We start from the raw sequence: 22,313 nt of genomic DNA, 5'->3' as shown, positions 1-22,313 counted from the left end.
TGGGCCTAAGATGGCAGCGCGCAGCGGGGACTGGGCCTAAGATGGCAGCGCGCAGCGGGGACTGGGCCTAAGATGGCAGCGCGCAGCGGGGACTGGGCCTAAGATGGCAGCGCGCAGCGGGGACTGGGCCTAAGATGGCAGCGCCCAGCGGGGACTGGGCCTAAGATGGCAGCGCCCAGCGGGGACTGGGCCTCGGGGACTGGGCCCAAGATGGCAGCGCGCAGCGGGGACTGGGCCTAAGATGGCAGCGCGCAGCGGGGACTGGGCCTAATATGGCAGCGCGCAGCGGGGACTGGGCCTAAGATGGCAGCGCGCAGCGGGGACTGGGCCTAAGATGGCAGCGCCCAGCGGGGACTGGGCCTAAGATGACAGCGTGCAGTGGGGACTGGGCCTAAGATGGCAGCGCGCCGTGGGGACTGGGTGCATTATGGGGCTTATGTTTTCCAGCTCTGGAAACCCAGGTGAGTCCCTCTAATGTTCTCCAAAGCGGTACAAGATGGTGCTTTGGGGAAGAAAATATTGGAATTTATATTTATTGATCTCATTCTTTAAAAAAAAACAATGGATTTGAGAGATACAATACAGTATTACCAACCAACTTATTCAGTGACTCTCTTATCCCTCCACATTCCTTGGAAAGGTGAAAGGGAGGTTAAATAGGACTAGGTAAAGGTCTAGGCTTGGTAATTATACTAGATTACAATTATGATTACTTCCAGCCTCCAGACTTTGGTAGAGCCAATTTTATGCTCTCTATCCAAATAAAATAGACTATGCAAGTTTGAGCCCCAAGCAGCTGTTGCATTTGTATTCACTTGACTGTGTTCTGATCTTGTGCACACAAAAGGCAGACAGGTGTAACCTTGCTCCATCAGGCTGCATGTCAGTGGGCACGCCTTGTGTTACAGGGTAACCTTCCAGGAGGGATGACAGAAACCAGCTCATTAGGCCAGGCCAGTTGCGTGGTAACATCACCCTGTCCGGAGGGATTCAGACTGGTTTGGGAGGATGCATTTGTTCGTGAAATGTCTTTCTTCCTGTGATTTCATGCGCACGTCTGTCCCTGTGCCGTGGCCTTTCTGTTTAGTCAGCAGCGTGAAGCTTAAAACAGGATTCTCATTGTCAAGGTCAGGACGAGCCACCTCCTTCCACCCCTGCTCCCTGCTCCTGACCAGTGGTCTTTCCAGCACTCAGTTGGGGATCCCGAATATGGTTCCAGGAGGCCTGGTGAAGCGCCGATGCCACCAAGACTGTTATTCCCCGAGATGGAGTCCTCGGGGCTTGCCCAATGCCACCAAGACTGTTATTCCCCTCAGGGCTCGCCCGATGGGCTCAGACTGGCATGACCGTGGCTGTGTGTGTTACTTCATTGACTGGCAGTCTGGAAGGACTCCCCCTTATCATGTGATGGTGACAAGAAAGATGATTTGGCGGCTTTGGACCTGGAGCTGGGAGGCTGAGTGAGGAGGATGAAGGTGCCTTCCTACACATCCCTGCCCGCTCTGCAGGCTCGGGGCACGCACCCCTCTATTCACTACGCCCTGAACACGCTGTGAGCTTTCGTGCCTCTCCTGCATCGGTGCTCATCCCAGGTTTCAAGTCAGAAATGCCCTTTCATCTCTGTCTATGGAAATTGTTTCATGTCCTGCTCAAATCCATGAATCCACTCATTATCATCCACTACTAATCCTTGTCATTCAGAAAAACAAGGGGAAAAGTCTGACAGAACTAGCAACCCCAAGGGACTTGTGTCCTTAGAAATCACCTGCCTTTTCCTATTTTTATTGTGGTGAAATATACATAAAATGTCCTATTGTAACCTTGCAACTAAGCGCACAGTTTAGTGGCATTGCGCCCGTTCACATTGTTGTGCAACCATCACATCCTTTATCTCCAGAACCTTCCCAAACAAACAAACTCTACCCATTAAGTAACAACTCCCCACTCCCTACTCCCCCGGCCCCCGGTAACCACCATTCTACTTTGTGTCTCTATGAATTTGCCTGTGCCAGGTACCTTGTATAAGTGGAATCATACAATATTTGTCCTTTGGGGTGTGGCTTATGTTACTCAACATGCTTGCAAGGTACATCCGTGTTATATTAACAGCATGTATCAGAATTTCACACTTTTTATGAGTGAATAATATATTCCATTAGATTTGGAAGCAACCTAAATGTCCATCAACAGGTGAATGGATAAAGAAAATGTGGTATATATACACAATGGAGTACTATTCAGCCATGGAAAAGAATGAGATCCTGTTGTTTGCAACATCATGGATGGAAATGGAGATCATTTTGTGAAATAAGCCAGGAACAGAAAGACAAACATCACATGTTCTCACTTGTTTGTGAGACCTAAAAATCAAAGCAATTGAACTCATGGGCATAGAGAGTAGAAGGATGGTTACCAGAGGCTGGGAAAGGTATTGGGAGAGTATGGGGGATGTGGGGATGGTTAATAGGTTCAACCAATTTTTGAAAGAATAAGATCTAGTATTTGAAAGTACAACAGGGTGACTATAACAACTTAATTGTACGTTTTTAAGTACCTAAAAGAGTGTAATTGAATTGTTTGTAACTCAAAGGATAAATGCTTGAGGGGATGGATACCCCATTCTCCATGACGTGCTTATTTCACATTGCATGTCTGTATCCCAACATCTCATGGATCCCATAGATATATTCACCTACTATGTACCCACAAAAATTAAAAATTGAAAGATACATTCTTTTCCATGAAACGTATATTCCATTATATTTACATACCACATTTTCTCTCCTCATTTGTGGATGAACAATTGGGTTGTTCCTACCTCTTGGCTATTATGCTTAATGCTACTATGAGCATTGGTATACAAGTATCTGTTTCATTTCCTGCTTTCAATTCTTTTTTTTTTAAATGAGACATTTATTTCACTACAATACAAAAAAAAATGATAACTAGGACAGGTGACAGGTGTGTCACCTAACTTGTGTTAATAATTTCACAATATATATCAAATCATCACATACTACACTCTAAACTTACACAGCTTTATTTCTCAACTATCTCTCAAAAAGTCTGGGGGAAATATGAGACGTTTAATATTGAAGGAAAGGAAACTAAGTTGGTAACACTAGACATATACATTGTGTGTGTGTGTGCATATATATATATATATATATATATATATATATATATGGATATACACACGCATACGATGGAATATTATTCAGCCTTTTTTCTTCATGCCCAGGTTTATTAAAAAGTGTTCTTCTAAAGATAATGTTACTGAATGTTTATATTTATTTATTTTATTTAATAGCTTTAGGGGTCCAAGTGGTTTTTGGTTACGTGGATGAACTGTATAGTGGTGAGGTCTGAGATTGTGGTGCACCTGTCACCGAAGTAGTATATGTTGTACCCAAAATGTAGCGTTTTAATCCTCCATCTCCTTTCCCCTTCGGAGTCTCCAATGTCCATTCCTCCACTCTGCCTTTGTGGACCCTCAGCTTAGCTCCCACTTATACCTGAGAACATAGGAATGTGGCTTTCCCTTCCTGAGTTACTTCACTTAGCATAATGGCCTCCAGCTCCCCTGCTTTCCATTCTTTTGGGTAACCTAGGAATGGAATTGCTGGACCATGTGACAATTCTATATGCGACTCTTGGAGGAACTGCCACACTCCTTTCCACAATGACTATGCCATTTTACATTCCCACCAGCAACGCACACGGACTGCAATTCCTCCACACCCTTGCCAACACTGATTTTCTGTTGTTGTTTTAATAGCTACATCCTGCTGGCTAGGAAGTGGTACCTTCTTGGGGTTTGCTTTGCATTTCTCTAGCAACTAATGATGCTGAGTATCTTTTCACGTGCTCCTTGGCTGTGCATATATCTCCGCTGGAGAAATGTCCATAAGATTCCTCTGCCCATTTGTGAACTGGGTGTGGTGATGGTTGTTGACTTACAGGAGTTCTTTATATATTCTGGATATTAATCATAGACATATGATTTACAAATATTTTCTCCCATTCTATAGGTTGTTTTTCAACCTCCTGATAGTGTCCTTTGTCATATAAGATTGCCTTTTCATTTGTAGGGAATACTTCATCAGTCTTCAGTTTAACTAATTTTTCTTTAGCATCTGTGGTTCAGAAGCCTTCTAACATAGGCTATACCTGTGAAGAGAGCCTAACGATGAGAGTGGCCCATGATTCCCTGTGCTGTTTTGTGTTAAAGATACTTGTCCAATATGATCCTTATTAGACTGCTAACCAGTCATTGGCTGGGGAAAACTTCAGGGGCTATTGTTAAGTGCATTTTCTGTGTATTGTCGAGGAACAAATTTCTTTTGAAATCAAGCATAACCTAGGATAAGGAAGATGATGAAGCCAACTCTATTATGATGCCTTCTGGGTATCATGTGTGGTTTAAAGAAACATGATCCTGGCCAGGCACAGTGGCTCATGCCTGTAATCCCAGCACTTTGGGTGATCTGAGGCAGGCGGATCACCTGAGGTCGGGAGTTCGCGACCAGCCTGGCCAACATGGCGAAACCCCATCTCTACTAAAACTACAAAAAATTAGCCAGGCATGGTGGTGCGTGCCTGTAATCCCAGCTACTTGGGAGGCTGAGGCAGAAGAATCACTTGAACCCAGGAAGCAGAGGTTGCGGTAAGCCAAGATTGTGCCACTGCACTCCAGCCTGGTGACAGAGCAAGACGCTGTCTCAAAAAAAGAAAAGAAAAGAAAAGAAAAGAAACATGATCTCCATGATCCTACAGTTCTCACAAAATGCACCAACTGGATAACTGGACTGGCACTTGGCACAAAGAACAGTGCATAGTAATTGGAAGGAATTAAAAGGAAATTAAGCTGAAGAATGCTTTCCATTACCAATACAAGCCTGAGAAAAGACGTTACACAGAAGCCACAACTCATACATTAAGTAACTTAAGGGAGAATCTACAAAATTTTAAAGGAGAATGATGTGGAGGAATTATCCATTTCTTGAAAAAGAATTAAGATTAGAGTTTTTTAGTGATGTTTATTTTGTTTGAAAAGAAGGTAGCTATTGTTGCACAATTCTTGCATCTTTTAAGTTGGTACGTTTGATAAGCTATTCATTTCTGACATGGGATAAATGTAGTTTGTGTTCAGGCTCTAATCACTGTTATCCCTGCAAGACCCTAACTGAGCCGTTTCTCAAAGTCCTGCTGCGGATAAGAAGATAAGGAAATAGGGGGCCGGGCTTGGTGGCTCACATCTGTAAACCCAGCACTTTGGGAGGCCGAGGCAGGCTGATCACTTGAGGTCAGGAGTTTAAGACCAGCCTGACCAACATGGTGAAACCCCGTCTCTACTAAAAATACAAAAATTAGCCAAGCGTGGTGGCGTGTGCCTGTAATCCCAGTTACCTGGGAGGCTGAGGCAGGAGAATCGCTTGAACCTGGGAGGTGGAAGTTGCAGTGAGCTGAGATTGCGCCACTGCACTGCACTCCAGCCTGGGTGACAGAGTGAGACTCCATCTCAAAAACACAAAACAAAACAAACAAACAGAAGCAGCTAAGGAATTAGGAATTAATCACATCTGACTCATGCTACTCATGCCACCTCTTTGGTCCCTTTTGTTTGTCTGTTTTAGCTTCAAAACATCTCAGAGCTTTTCAGGAGTGCTGCGAAGGGACTTGGTGAGTTGCCTGGATGGCCCAAATGTCACTCCTGCCACCTCCTTCCTGGAGAACTGCGTAGGATGGGCAGATGCCACTTCTCTTCTTCCTGTATAGCCAGGACCTAACACAGTGTCCGGCATAAAGTCGTCTTTCTATAAGTATTTAAATAAGTATCTACTGGGTGTACCTCTCCATCACAAGAAGTCTCCAGCTTCCCAACCCTACAGCTTCCAAAGCATCATCTTTTCTTTTTCTTCCTAGGAGCCACAGTCAGAATAAAACCAAAGCAGGCCAGGCACGGTGGCTCACGCCTGTAATCCCAGCACTTTGGGAGGCCGAGGCAGGCAGATTGTCTGAATCCAGGAGTTTGAGACCAGCCTGGGACACATGGCGAAACCCCATCTCTATTAAAAATATTTAAAAAAGTAGCCGGGCATGGTGGCACACGCCTGTTGTCCCAGCTACTTGGGAGGCTGAGTCAGGAGGATAGCTTGAGCCCAGGAGCTTAAGGCTGCAGTGAGCCGAGATCGTGCCACTGCACTCCAGCCTGGGCAGAGTGTTTCAAAAAAAGAAAGAAAGAAAACCAAAGTAGACGATGCTGCCTTGGGCTGGAAGGAGTGCCTAGCATAAGGCTCACGGTCCCTCCTACGTCACAGCAGAGAGATGCTTTCAGCCTCCCATCACATCCTAGAGGACAAGCCATGACCTGCTTCGTTCTGCACAGCTCACAGTCTTCAAGGGTGGATCACAGCAGAGACATTTTACACCAACATTACCATCAGGCCCCTCCTGATGTACAACGTTCCCCGAAGAGGAACAGTCAGAACCACTGCTGTGCCCTCAATTTGAGGCCAAGACTCTGGCCAAGCCACTCAGACCCCGCTGTTAGCTGTGTCTGGGTTACCACCCCCAGGCTATCCTTATACTGATGCTGCACAGGTACAAAGGTCTCCAGAGCAAAAATGTTTGATCCCAACGGGATATTTGAGTTAAAAGGGCGGATAACCCTTTTAACTTGTCCGTACCATTTGGTACGGACAAGTTAAATACCTCTGGCATGTAAAAAAGGTGTTTCAAAAAGGGCCACAAGCGTCATCTCTGCTTGCCGAGGAAGCAGCCGCCTATGTGTTAGCCTTTGGGAGGTCTTGTTACAAAGCCTAAACCTGTCCCATCCTCATTCCTTTGCAGTAACACACAGAAAGCCTTATTCAAACAAATAAGCTACCTCCGATTGTTCATTCAACAAGCATGTATTAAGAACCTAGGGTACAGGAACCCCTCCAAGGGCTTTAATTCGGCTGACCAGTTGCTCACTTGCCTAGAAGTCTCAGTGTATGCCTATCACCCTGCATCCTGTCTGGTTTATTTTGTCCTGGATTTTTCATTTCTTTATTCAAAATACAAGTAGTTATTACTAAGACTTATTAAAATGAGATGGAAGAATTGGATAGACTTTCACTTTCTATTTCAGTGGTCTCATCTAGGAACATATGAGGTTATGTGCAGTGAACAGAGTTAGCACTTTAAGACATAATGTCAGGAGTTCAAGACCAGCCTGGCCAATATGGTGAAACCCCATCTATACTAAAAACAAAAAAAATTAGCCAAGTGTGGTGGCACCTGCCTGTAATCCCAGCCACTTGGGAGGCTGAGGGAGGAGAATTGCTTAAACCCAGGAGGCAGAGGTGCAGTGAGCTGAGATTGCACCACTGCACTCCAGCCTGGGCGACAGAGAGAGACTCCGTCTCAAAAAAAAAAAAAAAAAAAAGGACATAATGTTCCAGCCAGGAGCAGTGGCTCATGCCTGTAATGCCAGGACTTTGGGAGGCTGACCGCGGGTGGATCACTGGAGGTCAGGAGTTTGAGACCAGCCTGGGCAACATGGTGAAACCCCAGCTCTACCAAAAATACAAAAATTAGCTGGGCATGGTGGTGCGTGCCTGTAGTCCCAGCTACTTGGGAGGCTGAGGCAGGAGGATCACTTGAACTCGGGAAGCGGAGGTTGCAGTCCTGGGTGATGGAGAAAGACTCAGTCTCAAAAAAAATAAAAAATAAAAAAAAGATATAATGTTCCAAGCTGAGAAACTTATTATGCTGAAATGTACCTGTAATTGATGTACCTATGTAATTCATAACTGAGCTCAAACACAGTTCTAATTCTACCCAGAGAAGCACAAGCTATAGTTTTTGAAATGTGTAAAATTTACATAAACTGAGAGTAACTGAACTACAAAAATTTTTTATGAAGTTTAAATTGGATTAAAAACATTTCATCAGTAGAGTGTGCGGTTCTCTCTTTGCTGCCTGTCAAGTTGGATTTGAGAAATATTTGACACTTGAAATAATGAAATGATAGGAAATTGCTGACATTAGGCAGCTTTTAACTTTAAAACATACTTCATGAGTCAATCCAAATGCTCTACAAAAAAAGTACTCCAGTTTTGGAAACAAGTCATCTAAATTTTGATGGCTTGTGGTTCAAAATAAGTTGTAATCCATAATCAAGTGTTCAACCAATGAAACACAAAAAGCTCAGCCTCTGAAGCCTGTAATGAATTGCAATGATTAAAAACAAAATTTGCAAACAGGGGACCCTGAAATATAGATGACAAGAGCTCAAACTGTATAGAAGATTAAAATGTGAAATTCTACAAGTATGCTCTGGAAATTGACTTGTGGGAAGATCCTTTGAAACTTTAACACACAATATTCTCACTGAATTGAGAAATGTATTTCACTGAAATAAACTTGTAATTGGTGGTTGTATGAATAAATTCACACTTATTTTTAAACAAACTGTGATATTCTATCAAGAGAAACAGAAGCCACAGTTATCAAAAACAGATGGTTTGATGTGTTAATGCACATAAACATATATGTAAATATATAGGTAAGGCAGTTGGATTATGTGAAGGAGAAAAACGCCCTGACATTAACAATAGAAAAAATAGTGTTAAGAAAAATACTACTGAAGTGGTATTAGAAGATAGTGAAGACAATGATTAAAATACACAAAAGTATATTAAGTGATTATTCTGCTTATTTTTTAATGTCCAGATAAACAATATAAAGCAGTTTTAACCTTTTTCTACTTTGATGTATTTTCTTTTATTAAGAAAGCATTTCATGTTTGAAAGTAATTTTTGAATAGAACTGTTTTATAGGTTCACCAATATAGACGGCTGTGTCAGAAAATATTTCAAAACATGAAATAATAATAATTAAGTGTCCCTTTTCACTCTCAAAAGTGGCTTCGATAATAAGTTATATGATCTCCTTACTTATTTAAAAGAAGGAGAGGTGTGTAACAGGAGAAAAAAAAAAGCAAAGGAGCAATATGATAGGCTGGGTTCCTAGGAAAACCTTCTTACCAAGTACAGTTAAATGTTGTGGATTTTTTTTTTTTTTGAGATGGAGTTTCACTCTTGTTGCCAAGGCTGGAGTGCAATGGCGTGATCTCGGCTCACTGCAACCTCCACCTCCCGGGTTCAAGCGATTCTCCTGCCTCAGTTGCTGGGATTACAGGCGCCCGCCACCATGCCCGGCTAATGTTGTATTTTTACTCGAGACAGGGTTTCTCCATGTTGGTCAGGCTGGTCTTGAACTCCCGACCTCAGGTGATCTGCCTGCCTCGGCCTCCTAAAATGCTGGGATTACAGGCGTGAGCCACCATGCCCGGCCGTGGATATTATTTTTAAGTCTTAGTAAATGCATTGTTGAACCTGCAAAAAGGTAAAGAATCCTCAGGCCAAAAAAAAGCAAGTGAAGTTGGGAACTCAAGATAAATAAGCAGAACAGGCAAGCTTTCTTTCACCCCAAAGACATCTGCCCAGCCAGGTAACACCCTGCTGAGTTTTATGTGGCAGCAGTCAAAGCTGGAGGCCTGCTCCACATGTGAATTTTCACAGGAAAATCAACCCCCAATAATTGTCCCTTGTAGGTATTCAAGACATGACTGTCTTGAAATAAGCACTGAGCAGAGGGGAAAGAAACTGTCCTGAGAATTGCGAACCCTGGTCTGAATTACATGCAGGTTTGCACGCTTAGTTCTCCATATCTGGGTGGTCAAAAATATTTCAAGCTGAGAATGTAGTTTAGACTATCCTCAACTGGCACCTGGTAGAAGTAAACACAAATGCTGTCTGGAGTAAACTATCTTTATCCCAGAGCTTGCAGAATTCTCACAAATAAAATGCCAGTGAAAATGAGTAGCCCCCAGACACAAATAAACAAAGAAACACGGCACCATGAGAAAGAGCCAGCAGAAACCACAGATGCAAGAATGAGATGTTCAAACCTAGATCACAAATAAACAACAAAAAGTTGATTAACATGTTAGAGACAATTAAACTGTTTAAAGAAATAAACAAAAAAAAATGATCACAAATGACAAAATTTCTGCTTCTGGCCATGTTTGAAAAATAGAAACTGGATTTACCCTCCAACCTTAAGCAACTAGAAAACCAAACAAACTATAAGAAAAAAAAAATGGGTTTCTGATACTGGGTAACAAGCAGCAGAGGAAAGTCATGTCTGAGAGAAGGGGAAAAGATGAGCTGAGCCTTGTAAGTGCCCCAGCTTACTGCCAGGAGAGAGGTTCCAGGCCCCCAAACACGACAGGGGACCCAAGCAGAGCCAGGCAGCCACATCCTTCTGAACAAGGAAAAGTCCAGACTTTGGGGAGATCAGGGCAGCTAAAATTTGTAGGACAAAATAGCAGAAGGGAAGAATGGAGAGAGATACAAAGCAAGAATTGGAGAGATAGAAGAGGGGAAAGAGAATAAGAGAGAAAAAAAAAAAAAGACAGAGGTGACCTGAGAGCAAGCAAGAGCTCTCTGGAGCCCTCTGGTTGAGCTCTAATCCACATGTGTACAAAAAAACAAGCAAGGCCACAGAAAGGAGAGTTGGAATAATCCTTGAAGCCAAGAAGGGATTGGAAGTCTGTGTTCAAGCAGACAGAGTGAGGAGATCTGTTTATACCCAGGGCATGCATGTGTGTGTGTGTGTGTATATATATCATTGGGTATATATGCATATTGGGTGTGTGTGTATATGTATCATTGGGTTTATATATATATTGTATATATATGTATCATTGGGTATATGTATGTATTGGATGTGTGTGTGTGTATATATCACTGGGTGTGTATATATATTGGGTGTCTGTGTATATATCATTGGGTGTATATATATATAGGGTGTGTGTATATATATATCATTGGGTGTGTATATATATTGGGGGTGTGTGTATATATATCATTGGGTGTACATATATATATATTGGGTGTGTGTATATATGTATCATGGGGTGTATATATATATATATATATATCGGGTATGTGTATGTATATATCACTGGGTGTATGTGTGTGTATATATATATGGTGTGTGTGTATATATCACTGGGTGTATATATATATAGGGTGTGTGTGTATATATCATTAGGTGTGTAAATATATATAGGGTGTGTGTGAGTATATATATCATTGGGTGTATATATATTGGGTGTGTGTGTGTATAGATATATCATTGGGTGTATCTATATAGTGTGTGTATATTATATATATCATTGGGTATATATATATTGGGTGTGTGTATTATGTCATTGGGTATATATATATGGGGTGTGTGTATGTATATATCATTGGGTATATATATATATTGAGTGTGTGTATGTATATCATTGGGTGTATATATATGGGGGTATGTGTGTATGTATATCATAGGGTGTGTGTAATATATATATCATTGGGTGTATATATATTGGGTGTGCATATTATTTATGTCATTGAGTATATATATATATGGGGTGTGTGTATGTATACATCATTGGGTGTATATATATATTGAGTGTGTGTATGTATATCATTGGGTGTATATATATGGGGGTATGTGTGTATGTATATCATAGGGTGTATATATATATATGGTGTGTGTAATATATATATCATTGGGTGTATATATATTGTGTGTGTGTATGTGTATATATATCATTGGGTGTATACATATAGGGTGTGTGTATATATAACACTGGGTGTATATATATTGGTGGTGTGTGTGTATATATGTATAACATTGGGTGTATATATATATATTGAGTGTGTGTGTCTATATATAACATTGGGTGTATATATATATTGGGTGTGTGTGTATATATATATCATTGGGTGTATATATATATTGGGGGTGTGTATATATATATATAACATTGGGTGTATATACATATTGGGTATGTGTGTATATTGTATATAATATATATGGTGTATATAATGGGTGTACATATATATGTGAGTGTATGTAAATCATTCCTCAGCGTCCTCAGAAGGTTACTGCGCTAACAGTGGGATCAAAGCAGCCCTAGGCTGTGCTGCACCTGCCTTTGCAAGGCTTAAAAGGCTCAAAAGGAACAAATTCCAAGTAACTGTGGCGATTAGTAAATACATTTCTAAATAACCCACGGATCACAAAATAATTAAAATGGGCCAGGCGCAGTGGCTCACACCTGTAATTCCAGCACTTTGGGAGGCTGAGGCAGGGAGTGGATCACTGGAGGCCAGGAGTTTGAGACCAGCCTGGCAACATGCAAAACCCCATCTCTACTAAAAATACAAAAATTAGCTGGGCATGGTGGCAGGCGCAAATAATCCCGGCTACTCGGGGGGCTGAGGCAGGAGAATCACTTGAACCCAGAAGACAGAGGTTGCAGTGAGCCAAGATCATGCCACTGCACTCCAGCCCGGACAACAGAGTGAGACTCTGTCTCCAAAAAAAAAAAAAAGAAAAAAGAAAAGCCAGGGATGGTGGCACACGCCTGTAGTCCCAGCTACAGGAGGTTGAGGCAGGTGGATTGCTTGAGCCCAGCAGGTCAAGGCTGCAGTGAGCCAAGATCGCACCACTACACTCCAGCTTCAGTGACAGAATGAGACCCCGTCTCAAAAAATGATAATTACAATGAGAAATGGAAAATATTTTGAGTGAATGATAGTGAAAATACCTGTCATTACCAGAACTTGAGGATACAGACAAAGCAGTACTTAGAGAGCAACGTAGGTGCTTACAGAACAAGAAGGGGAAACTGCCAAGCTAAGTAGCCACCTTAAGATGAGAAATAAAGAATGGCAAAGTAGGGCTGGGTGCGGTGGCTCATGCCTGTAATCCCAGCACTTTGGGAGGCCAAGATGGGAGGATCACTTGAGCTCAGGAATTCAAGACCAGCCTGGGCAACACAGTGAGACCCTGGCTCTAGAAAAAAATTTTTAAAAATTAACCAGGCATGGTGGTGCACACCTGTAGTCCCAGCTACTCAGGATGCTGAGGTGGGAGGATCGCTGTTGAGCCCGGGAGATCAAGGCTGCAGTGAGCTATGACCACATCACTGCATTCTAGCCTGGGTGACAAGACCTTTGTCTCCCCTACCCGCCCCCCCAAAAAATAGCAAAGAACAGAAATTAATAAATGGCAAATGAACATGCCCAGAACTTCCCTGTACTTAGATCCTCACGACACCAGCGCCAAATCCATGTGATAAATGACTATTACTAACAGGCAGTTTCAGTAATTCAAGCTTTGGGGTAAATTCTAAGACCTATTTGCTTCCACCAAATTCTAGACATGTGGAGAGTTGTAGTCATAAATAGGAATCTATACCTGCATCTTGTGTTTATTATTATTGCCATAGAAAAAATATTCACAGCTGACTTGCTGGAACTTTTTTTTTCTGAGATGGAGTCTCGCCCTGTTGCCCAGGCTGGAGTGCAATGGCGTGATCTCGGCTCACTGCAACCTCCACCTCCCGGGGTTCAAGCGATTCGCCTGCCTCAGGCTCCTGAGTAGCTGAGATTACAGGCATGTTCCACCACGCCTGGCTTTTTTTTTTTTTTCTTGTATTTTTAGTAGATATTGGGTTTTGCCATGTTGGTCAGTCTGGTCTTAAACTCCTCACCTCAAATGATCCGCCCTCCTTGGGCTCTCAAAGTGCTGGGATTACAGGTGTGAGCCACCGCGCCCGGCCTACTTGCTGGAACTGCTTACCTCTTTCCTTGAATGTACTTGATAATGTGACTTTTAACTGCTTTATGCCTTGTACTCTAATTTGTGCACATTTTTTCCTCTGTCCTACTGGTGCAAAAGCTCTCTGCATTAGCCCTAATGCTTAGACTAGTACTGTATATTTTGAAGATGCTTGATAAATTTGTCAAAATAACCCGGTAGAGCAAATATATGTTTGCTATTTTATCTGGCTCAGAAAATAGGGTTATAGCTTCAGTGCCTCTTCTCATCCTAAACAGGTGACAATACCACAAAACATATACTTTATCCTAGTTTAGATTGGGGATCCGATGGCCACAGGAAGCCTGCGGGCACAAAGGTGTCCTCTGGGAAGCTGGGCAGGCTACCACAAAGTTGAAGGTGGGTGTCAGACTCATATCTGTCACTAAAGATGCAAGGTTTAGATCAGGCTGGTTTCATTCAGATTAGTGCAAAATCGTAAGGAAGCTGAAGAACAAGATTCCATCATTATTATTTTTTTGAGACAGGGTCTTGCTCTGTTGCCCAGGCTGGGGTGTAGTGGCATGATCATAGCTGACTGCAGCCTCAACCTCCCAGGCTCACGCAATCCTCCCACCTCAGCCTGCCGAGTAGCTGGGACTACAGGCACACGCCACTATGCATGGCTACTATACTTTTAAATTTTTTTTTTGTACAGATGGAGTCTCACTATGTTGCCCAGGCTGGTCTTGAACTTGGGCCCAAGTGATCCTCCTGCCTTGGCTTCCTGAAGTGCTGGGATTACAAGTGTGAGCCACTGCATGTGCCCTCTATCATTATCTAGATGAGCTCATATGATAGGAGAGGTATATGTAAACAAATATTTAAAATATAAGTGCCTACATTAAAATACCATTTTAATGCCATTGAGTTGGAAGATGGAAACAACTTTCCTGGAGCAAAGAATTAGGAGGGGGGAAAGGAGATCAGAGAAGGCTTGAGAGGGGAGATGATATTTGAGATAAGCCTCAAAGAATAAGTAGGAAGGAATCCAAGAATTTTTAGTATTATTAATGGAAAACTGATTGGCTGGGTACAGTGGCTCCCACCTGTAATCCCAGCACTTTGGGAGGCCAAGGCAGGAGGATTGCTTGAGCTCAGGATTTCAAAGCCAGCCTGGGCAACATGGTAAAACCCCGTCTCTACAAAAAATATAAACTATTAGCCAGGCATGGTGGTGCACACCTGTAGTCCCAGCTACATGGGAGGCTGAGGTGGGAGGATCACTTGAGCCTGGGAGTGCAGCGAGCCTTGTTGGTGTCACTGCGTTCCAGTCTGGGTGACGGAGTGACACCCTGTCTCAAAAAGAAAAGAAAACTCACAATGTAATTGACCATATTAAATGATTAATGGAGGAACCAAGTGAGCATCTCATTAGAGCAGAAATAGGTTCGATTAACTTCAACAATCAGTTTTTAAAAACTTGTTAGAAATCCACCCACAGAAGAATATTTTGCAATATCCATCTACAATGGAAAAATCGTACAGCAATGAAGATTAAGAACCTGTAGCTGTGCGCATCAAGATGGATCTCAAAAATGAAATACTGATCAAAAGAAGGTACGGAAGGGCATAGAATAGAGTATGATTTCATTTACGTAACGTTCAACAGCAGACAAAACTAAACAGTATGTTTTGGGGGGACACATACTTAGGTGGTAAAACCTATAAGACAAGCAAGGGGATCAAAACCAGAAAATTCAGCACTGTGGTCACCGCTGGAACAGGCAGGAGGGTGACGGAAGGCAGACGATCACACAAGGGCACCTGAGCTAGTGGAATGTTCTATTTCCTAACCTGGGTGGTGGGCACACAGATTTTTTGTCATTCTATAGACTGAGTAGGTGTGTTTCTACATCTGCATATGCAACACATCTTACAATCAAAACATGTCAAAGACATAAGAAGAATCTCACAAATGGAGGAGGAGCTCCAGTACAGTACTGGAGTAGGGTATGTTCTTGGTAACTATTGATTGAATGAATGAATGAGTGAGTGAATGAACAGCCGCTGGAAGCAGAAGAATCGGCATCGGCAAAGCATGTGACTGTGGGGGTGGGGTGGGGTGTTCAGTCATCTCTATGTAGTTTCTATGGTCAGAAAGGTAGGTGTGGCCCAAATTCGGAAGAGCTCCATAGGCCACAAAAGGGTTTCAACTATCCTGTAGCCAACAGGAAGCCACTGAAGGTTTTAAAGACTGAGAGACATCAGATTTGCATTTTAAAGGGGCCTTCTGGCAGCTATGTGGAATGTAAAGAAAACAAAAATCCCGTCTTCACCAAAAGAGTTCTCGGAAGGAAACAGTGGATATGGCAGGTGCCCTTAATGAAGGGAGCAGTGAACTTTGTTCACTGTGTGTATGCAGCTACTGCAATTAGTTCTCAGCGCGCGATTTCAGGCTCAGGGGTGACAAGGTCTCGTGGGAGAAACAACCCTTGATAAGTGGTTTGAAAGACACCAACGCGGTGTTTTAAAGACAGACACATTTGACCCTCAGAAAAATGGGCATGTCAGGGCACAAAACTAAAAAAATGTATGCTTATAAATGGGAGGCTGCCAAATCTAGAAATGCCCCCCAAATTTTCATTGATCTCATCGGTAGGGAGTGAAAAGAAAGAAAAGTGAGGATAAAAAGAAACAGCAACTGTGGTCATTGCCCTAAAGAACAGAGTATCATAAAGTCTCTTAAAAGCCGACTATTCCTCAAACCACCTCTACTTCTGTGGTTCTCCTTTTGTTATATCAAAATGAAATTCAGCTCTGTTTTAGTTACAAAATTACTAGGTACATTAGACAATTTGATACAACTTAACTACTCCACAAATGTAACTATTCAAAAATTGTTCAATTAGACATGAAATAAATGAAATGAATGAATGAATTACACACAAAACCTCATTTGCATGAACAAAAAAAAAAATCTGTTAATGCTCAATTGGGCCTGAACCAGTTGTGAAACAGGTGAGAATTTATGGTTGGACACTCTGACTGAAGCTCTATTAAAGCTCAAGACAGATTTTTAATGAATTAATCCCCAACACATTTGTATGCTCCATCCTGTCCAATGCCTAATTGTGCCTAAATCAAGCCATCCTTGAATAATCACAGCCCCCTGTGGGTGCCCAAGGGCGTCTTGGGCTCTCCGTACTGTCCCCAGACCAACCTAAAGCCCTCCTTCTCTGGCTGTTTTGTTTCTGGTTATGACACAACTTGTGATATGATGGTTAGTCGTCATTAAAGATCACACTCAGCTGTGGATTCAGAGTCTTGCATTTGGCTTAGTGGTTTGTCATGATTTGTGTTGGATCATCTCTATATCAAAGCAGGGAATGACAGAACAGGTGTGAATGACTCAGGCATTTAGAGGACGGACTGTGGCAAACTTTGGAAGACACAGATGAGCGTGAGTAGAGAATGAGTGGGACTCGAGGAGGAGAGAGCTTGAGAATCACCGCTCTGTGCCATTCCTCAGCCCCACCCGACCCCTTCTTCCCTTAGTGCCGATTCAGCGCTGATGTGCGTATATTATCAGTTACTCGGTGCTCAGTGTCTGTATTCCTGCTACACTGTAAGTTGCCCAAGAATGCAGATCATCTGTTATATTCCTGGTATTTATTGTAGGGTATTTTTGAGTAAATGAATAAATGGAAAACTTAGATTTCTGCTATACATTTCTCAGATTATTTTCTCTGTATGTTTGGTGACCTCAATTAGGCTTAGAACCAGTTCCTTAAATTCCTCCACCAGTTCTTTTGGGCCAGAATCTACCTTGCTGATCAGAACAGCACCGAGTTCTATGGATGACAGAGTTAAATGTTATGAATCACGTGTGGTGTAAAATGTAAAGTGAAATTTATATCAAAGTTGGCCTTGACAATCTCTGAACGAAAACCATTCTCTCACTAAGTCCAACACAGACAAGTTTTACTCCAGCATTAAAAACATACCACCTCTCCGGCTGTGCAGCAGAAGTACTCGGCTTGCATTTAAAGGCCGTATGAAAAAGGAGTATCTTTAAATATTCAAATCACGCCCCAGTCACTGGGATACACAGATACAACTGGGGGTGCAGCAGCATCGAACCCCCACCCCAGGCTCATTCTCAGGCCCATTGGACTGTTTGAGGGCAGAGTCCTTTGCCTCCTTACATCATGACTTCACTTTCGTGCAGAGCCTGTAGAATTCTCTTAAACCAAGTATCTGTATCAGGCAGCCATGCTGTGTGTTAGGCACACAAACTCTCATTGAATAAATGCATGAGGGTTCATTTCGATAGACGGTAATTATCTACTTGGTCAAAAGAAAAGATGCGTACTTTCAAAGTCAAGGAATGCACAGAAGACAGGATGGTGGCAGAACCACGTGGGTTACACGATTCTGAAAGATGATAAAACAGTGACCTTTCTGCCTTTGAAGCACGTCTCTTTGTCTACCACAGACATCGTCTCCATGGAACCTACAATATGTTTCTGAGGTGGACGAGGAGTAAGAATGATTGAGATTTTGCTGATGGAGAAATGAAAAGCTCAGGGAGAGCGTCTGAGTGTGTGAGGTTAGCCGTGGCAGGGGTGCTAGAATCCATCTCACCGGGCCTCAGCTCAGCACTAGCTCAACGGCGCAGGTTGCAATCCATCTCTTTAGAAAGCACAGCGATTCCACCACACATACTTCTCTGGGAGCTCAGTCTGAAGAAACTTCACAAATTCCAGCTGAGAGGCTGATCACCTTAATCTGCCAGTTGTGGAATTTCCCAAAGCTTCTATTCTTAGCCAGATGTTTGAGGAAAAGCTCGTGATCTCACTTGCCAGCCCTGCCGTCATTCTCACCTCTTGCTTATCTCTTCCTTACCTTTCTTGTACTCAGCAAAGCTTCAAGGCACAGCCTGGGTGATAACCTCTCCTGCTCTGACCTGAACCTATTCACTCAGGAATGCCTTTGCATACCCAGGAGGGGCGGGAGATGGAAGCTGTCTTATCAAGTGGGCTGTGCCCAGTGTCTGGTTCTCCACTGTGGGAAACGGTCACCCTTCTTATGCAGGAGCTGCCCCAGATAAATCAGGAGGCCTTCGTGGGGGTCCTGGAGCCAGAGAAAGCCTGGTGGAGTCCTGCAGTTTCTCCCATCAGTGCGGCGTGGGAAGTGGCTCCATGAACTGTCAGGCTCTTTCACGAGAAAGATTATAGCTATATTTTATTAAAGGCTCATGAAATAGGGTGAAGCTTTCTGAGAGGATACCCTCCATTGGTGGTGCCCAGAACACGGGACCCAGACTGTCAGGCCCCACTGACAGCCATTTACTGAGGTTAGGATGCCTTCTAATCTACCCGGAGCCCTGCACACAGGTTCAAAGTCAGGAGCGTCTCGTTGCTTGTTACATTCTTTTTAATTTTATTTTTTGCCCCCTCCCCACCCCTCATCATTACATTCTTACTTGGTATTTTTTGTTTAGCCCTGATAAGTAGCTTGGGTCCTGAAAGGAAGATTTATTTCCCTTTTTTACCTTTCGTATTTTACATTCTTCATTGCCATGGGTATCTAGCCATCAGCCTGGCTTAGCAATCACAGAAACAGGTGAGACCAGGAGACCGACCTGAATGTATGAATTGGCTACCATCAGCCCTGCCCCTCGGGTCTGTGCCTTCATTCATTCACTCACTTAGAGGCAGGGTCTTGCTCTGTTGTCCAGGCTGGAGTGCAGTGATACGATCATAGCTTACTGCAGCCTCAACCTCCTGGGTTCAAGCGATCCTTCCACCTCAGCCTCCCAAGTAGCTTGGACTACAGGTATGAGCCACCATGCCCAGCTAGTGTTTTAATTTTTTTTTGTGGAGACGAGGTCTCCTTATGTTGTTCAGACTGGTCTCAAACTCCTGGGCTCAAGTGATCCTCCTGCCTAGGCCTTCCAAAGTGCTGAGATTATAGGTGTGAACCACTGTGCCCAGACTGTGCTTTTACTTATAATCAACTACACATATGCAAGCTTTGCTGGTATGTTTGATCCTCTGTTGTACCCCACTTGTTATTGCAACAAATGTTGACCGAGCACAATATTCCAGAAACTGTACTCGGTGGGGGGTGATAAACTGGGAGGCAGTGAGGCCCTGTTGCCTATTAGCTGTGTGAACTTGGACAAGATACTCAACCTTTCTGTGTCTCAGTTTCCCCATCTGTGATACTAGTATGATTACAGTACCTATGTCACAGGTTGTCAGAATGAAATATCCATAAGGCATTTAGCAGAGCTTGTGAGGCACAGTGAGAACAACGCCCGGCTGTGGTGCTCACGATGGGAAATACTCTCACCGGGGGCTCATTTATGCACCGTGCTAACTACCTTCCATGTAGCTGAAATGCCAGGAAATAAGTACTAGAAATCATTTTCTCCTCCTCCCTGTGGTCCAGCAAGTCCACGAATTAGGAACTTCTACCCCTTTAGCAAGATCAAGATAGAGTTCCCGCTCTCGGTTCTGCCCTTCTATTCACTTCCTCCAAGGGAGGAAGGAAGAAGGTCTGACTGCTGAGGCTGGTGAACGTGAGCCTGGGTGACAGCTGGCGCTGTCTGCCTGTCCCTCCCCTGCAGGCCACACCATTCTCTCCTCCACTGAGGCCGTGGGGTTGGGGAAGGGGCTGTCTACCCTTTCCTACTCTGCTAGGATTAGCAGGCTTTTCATTCCCAATCATTCTCTTGTATCTATCTGATCATTGGTTCAGAATTCAGAAAGACTTTAATAGTAACCCCAGACATTAGACATAAAGGAAGATACACTTGAAAGGCCAAAAGGGAAAGGAAGACGCCTTCCAATTTCTACCCAGCCCCGAGACCATCATGTGCCATTACGCCACAACGGCTGCTGCAGTGGACAGACAAAAACATGAGCCGTGGCTTTGCCGCCAAGAGATGATGACAGAGCTGGGGCCTGATATTCTGTTCCCAATTCAGTGAAGCTCTGAGAGGGGCCAGAATGTGGTCCTCTTAAGAATGAAAAGGACGAGGTGTAGAGTTCATGTGTCAAACTAGCGGCAGAACAACCAAAGCTTGAACCCAGTGTTTGTGACCCCGGCCGATCCCCAGACGGTGTCATTTCTCCCTGAGTGACTGGCGTGGTTCTATAATGAGCCTGGCAGAATTAATGTAGTGGCAGCTTCTGCCTCAACTCTTAAGAAAATAATAACAATCTCTCGAGATTTCTATAGCTAAATATGAAGATACCGCTAGCCAAGGAAGCAAACAGAGCTAAGGGGGAAAAATAAAAGCAAGTGAGAATGCTAAAAATCTCATAGAAAAGGGACTTCGATGTCCCAGCGACATTCTGAACTCACATTCTCTGCATCCTAACCATCACTAAAATGTATAAAAATGAGTATTTCTAAAGCAGCAATACTAAGAATTATCATTGCTGCAGTTGCCTGGCAACCTGAGACTTTGGTTATTTTATTTCTAAATAGGGAACGCTCTAAACTGGTATCTAGAGTTTGTGCAAATAGTTCTAAATTGATATTCTCCCTGTAAATCAGGGGGAGAAAATACAGCATTAATGTACATTTAAAGGAGGTTAAATATGCATATGTCTCTCTCACACACACACACACACACACACACACACACACACACACACACAGATTCTTACATGAACCTCTCCGTTTCATGCTATCTTAAACAAATCTGGAGAACTGATACTCCTTTGCATTTTTCCTGGCAAATATCTACTTAATTTCATGGTACGTCTAAGTAATATACATCCAAGTCCTGAGGAAGAGCCTTTCCTCTCCTGTGTGAGATGGGAATTCAATGCCATGGCTCCGCAGTCCCAAACCCTTTTACCTTTTTGGCACCAGGGACAGGTTTCGTGGAAGACAATTTCTCCATGGACCCAATGGGAGTAGGGAATGGTTTGGGGATGAGACTGCTCCACCTCAGATCATCAGGCATTAGATTCTCATAAGGAGCGCACAGGCTAGATCCCTCGCACACACAGTTCACAATAGCATGAGGTTCCTATGAGAATCCAGTGCCACCACTGATCAGACAGCCAACAGCCCTCAGGTGGTCATGCTCCCCCACTGCTCACCTCCTGCTGTGCAGGCTGGTTCCCAACAAGCCAGGGACCTGTACCAATCTGTGGCCTGGGGGTTTGGAACCCCGCTCTAGCTAACAGCAATCTTGAGCCCCTTTCCCCAGCTTCCCAGACCTTGAGTACTGGGTTTCCAGTTCTGAGAAAGGAGAGGCTAATCCCAAATCTCCATGGGCTCTAGGAGGAAGCACTTCTCCAGGCAAGGAGGGGAATGTCCACATCCTTCAGAGGCTCGTCCTGAAGTTCCTGCCAATGCTGGGCCTGCTGCCACAAGTGTGACCCACAGGTGCCAGAACCCCACCCTCTCTTGGATGAGAAGGTGCTTGCATTTTGAAAAAGCTGCCTCTACTTATGAAGTGTCATTTCCTTTCAAGTCACTGATTTGAACTTGAGCTTCTAGTGCTGCCTGCTGCTTTGAATGAACTGGTGTGTCCCGATGCTACAAGCTTAAAGATGACCTTGGTTCCTGACTCCTCACTAGGGCCTTAGGAGGAAAAGAGTTCCCATTATAGCCCCTGAGGATGGGTGTCC

At 43.5% G+C, this 22,313-nt stretch overlaps 1 protein-coding gene and 1 long non-coding RNA gene across 2 annotated transcripts in view; one reads left to right on the top strand and one right to left on the bottom strand.

Moving 5' to 3' along the window:
• Window positions 1–7,269, top strand: part of LOC105373265 (uncharacterized) — a 32,746-nt gene extending 25,477 nt beyond the window's left edge. The window contains exon 6 of the long non-coding RNA XR_007066988.1: window positions 5,637–7,269. This is a non-coding gene — a long non-coding RNA (uncharacterized LOC105373265). The remainder of the gene's footprint in view (window positions 1–5,636) is intronic.
• KIF26B (kinesin family member 26B) overlaps window positions 1–22,313 on the bottom strand; it is a 554,448-nt gene that overhangs the window by 36,001 nt on the left and 496,134 nt on the right. The window lies entirely within an intron of this gene.

Source organism: Homo sapiens, chromosome 1 (genome assembly GCF_000001405.40).
Source record: "Homo sapiens chromosome 1, GRCh38.p14 Primary Assembly".
NCBI classification, from domain to species: domain Eukaryota; kingdom Metazoa; phylum Chordata; class Mammalia; order Primates; family Hominidae; genus Homo; species Homo sapiens.
This window is presented reverse-complemented; position numbering and strand designations above follow the sequence as displayed.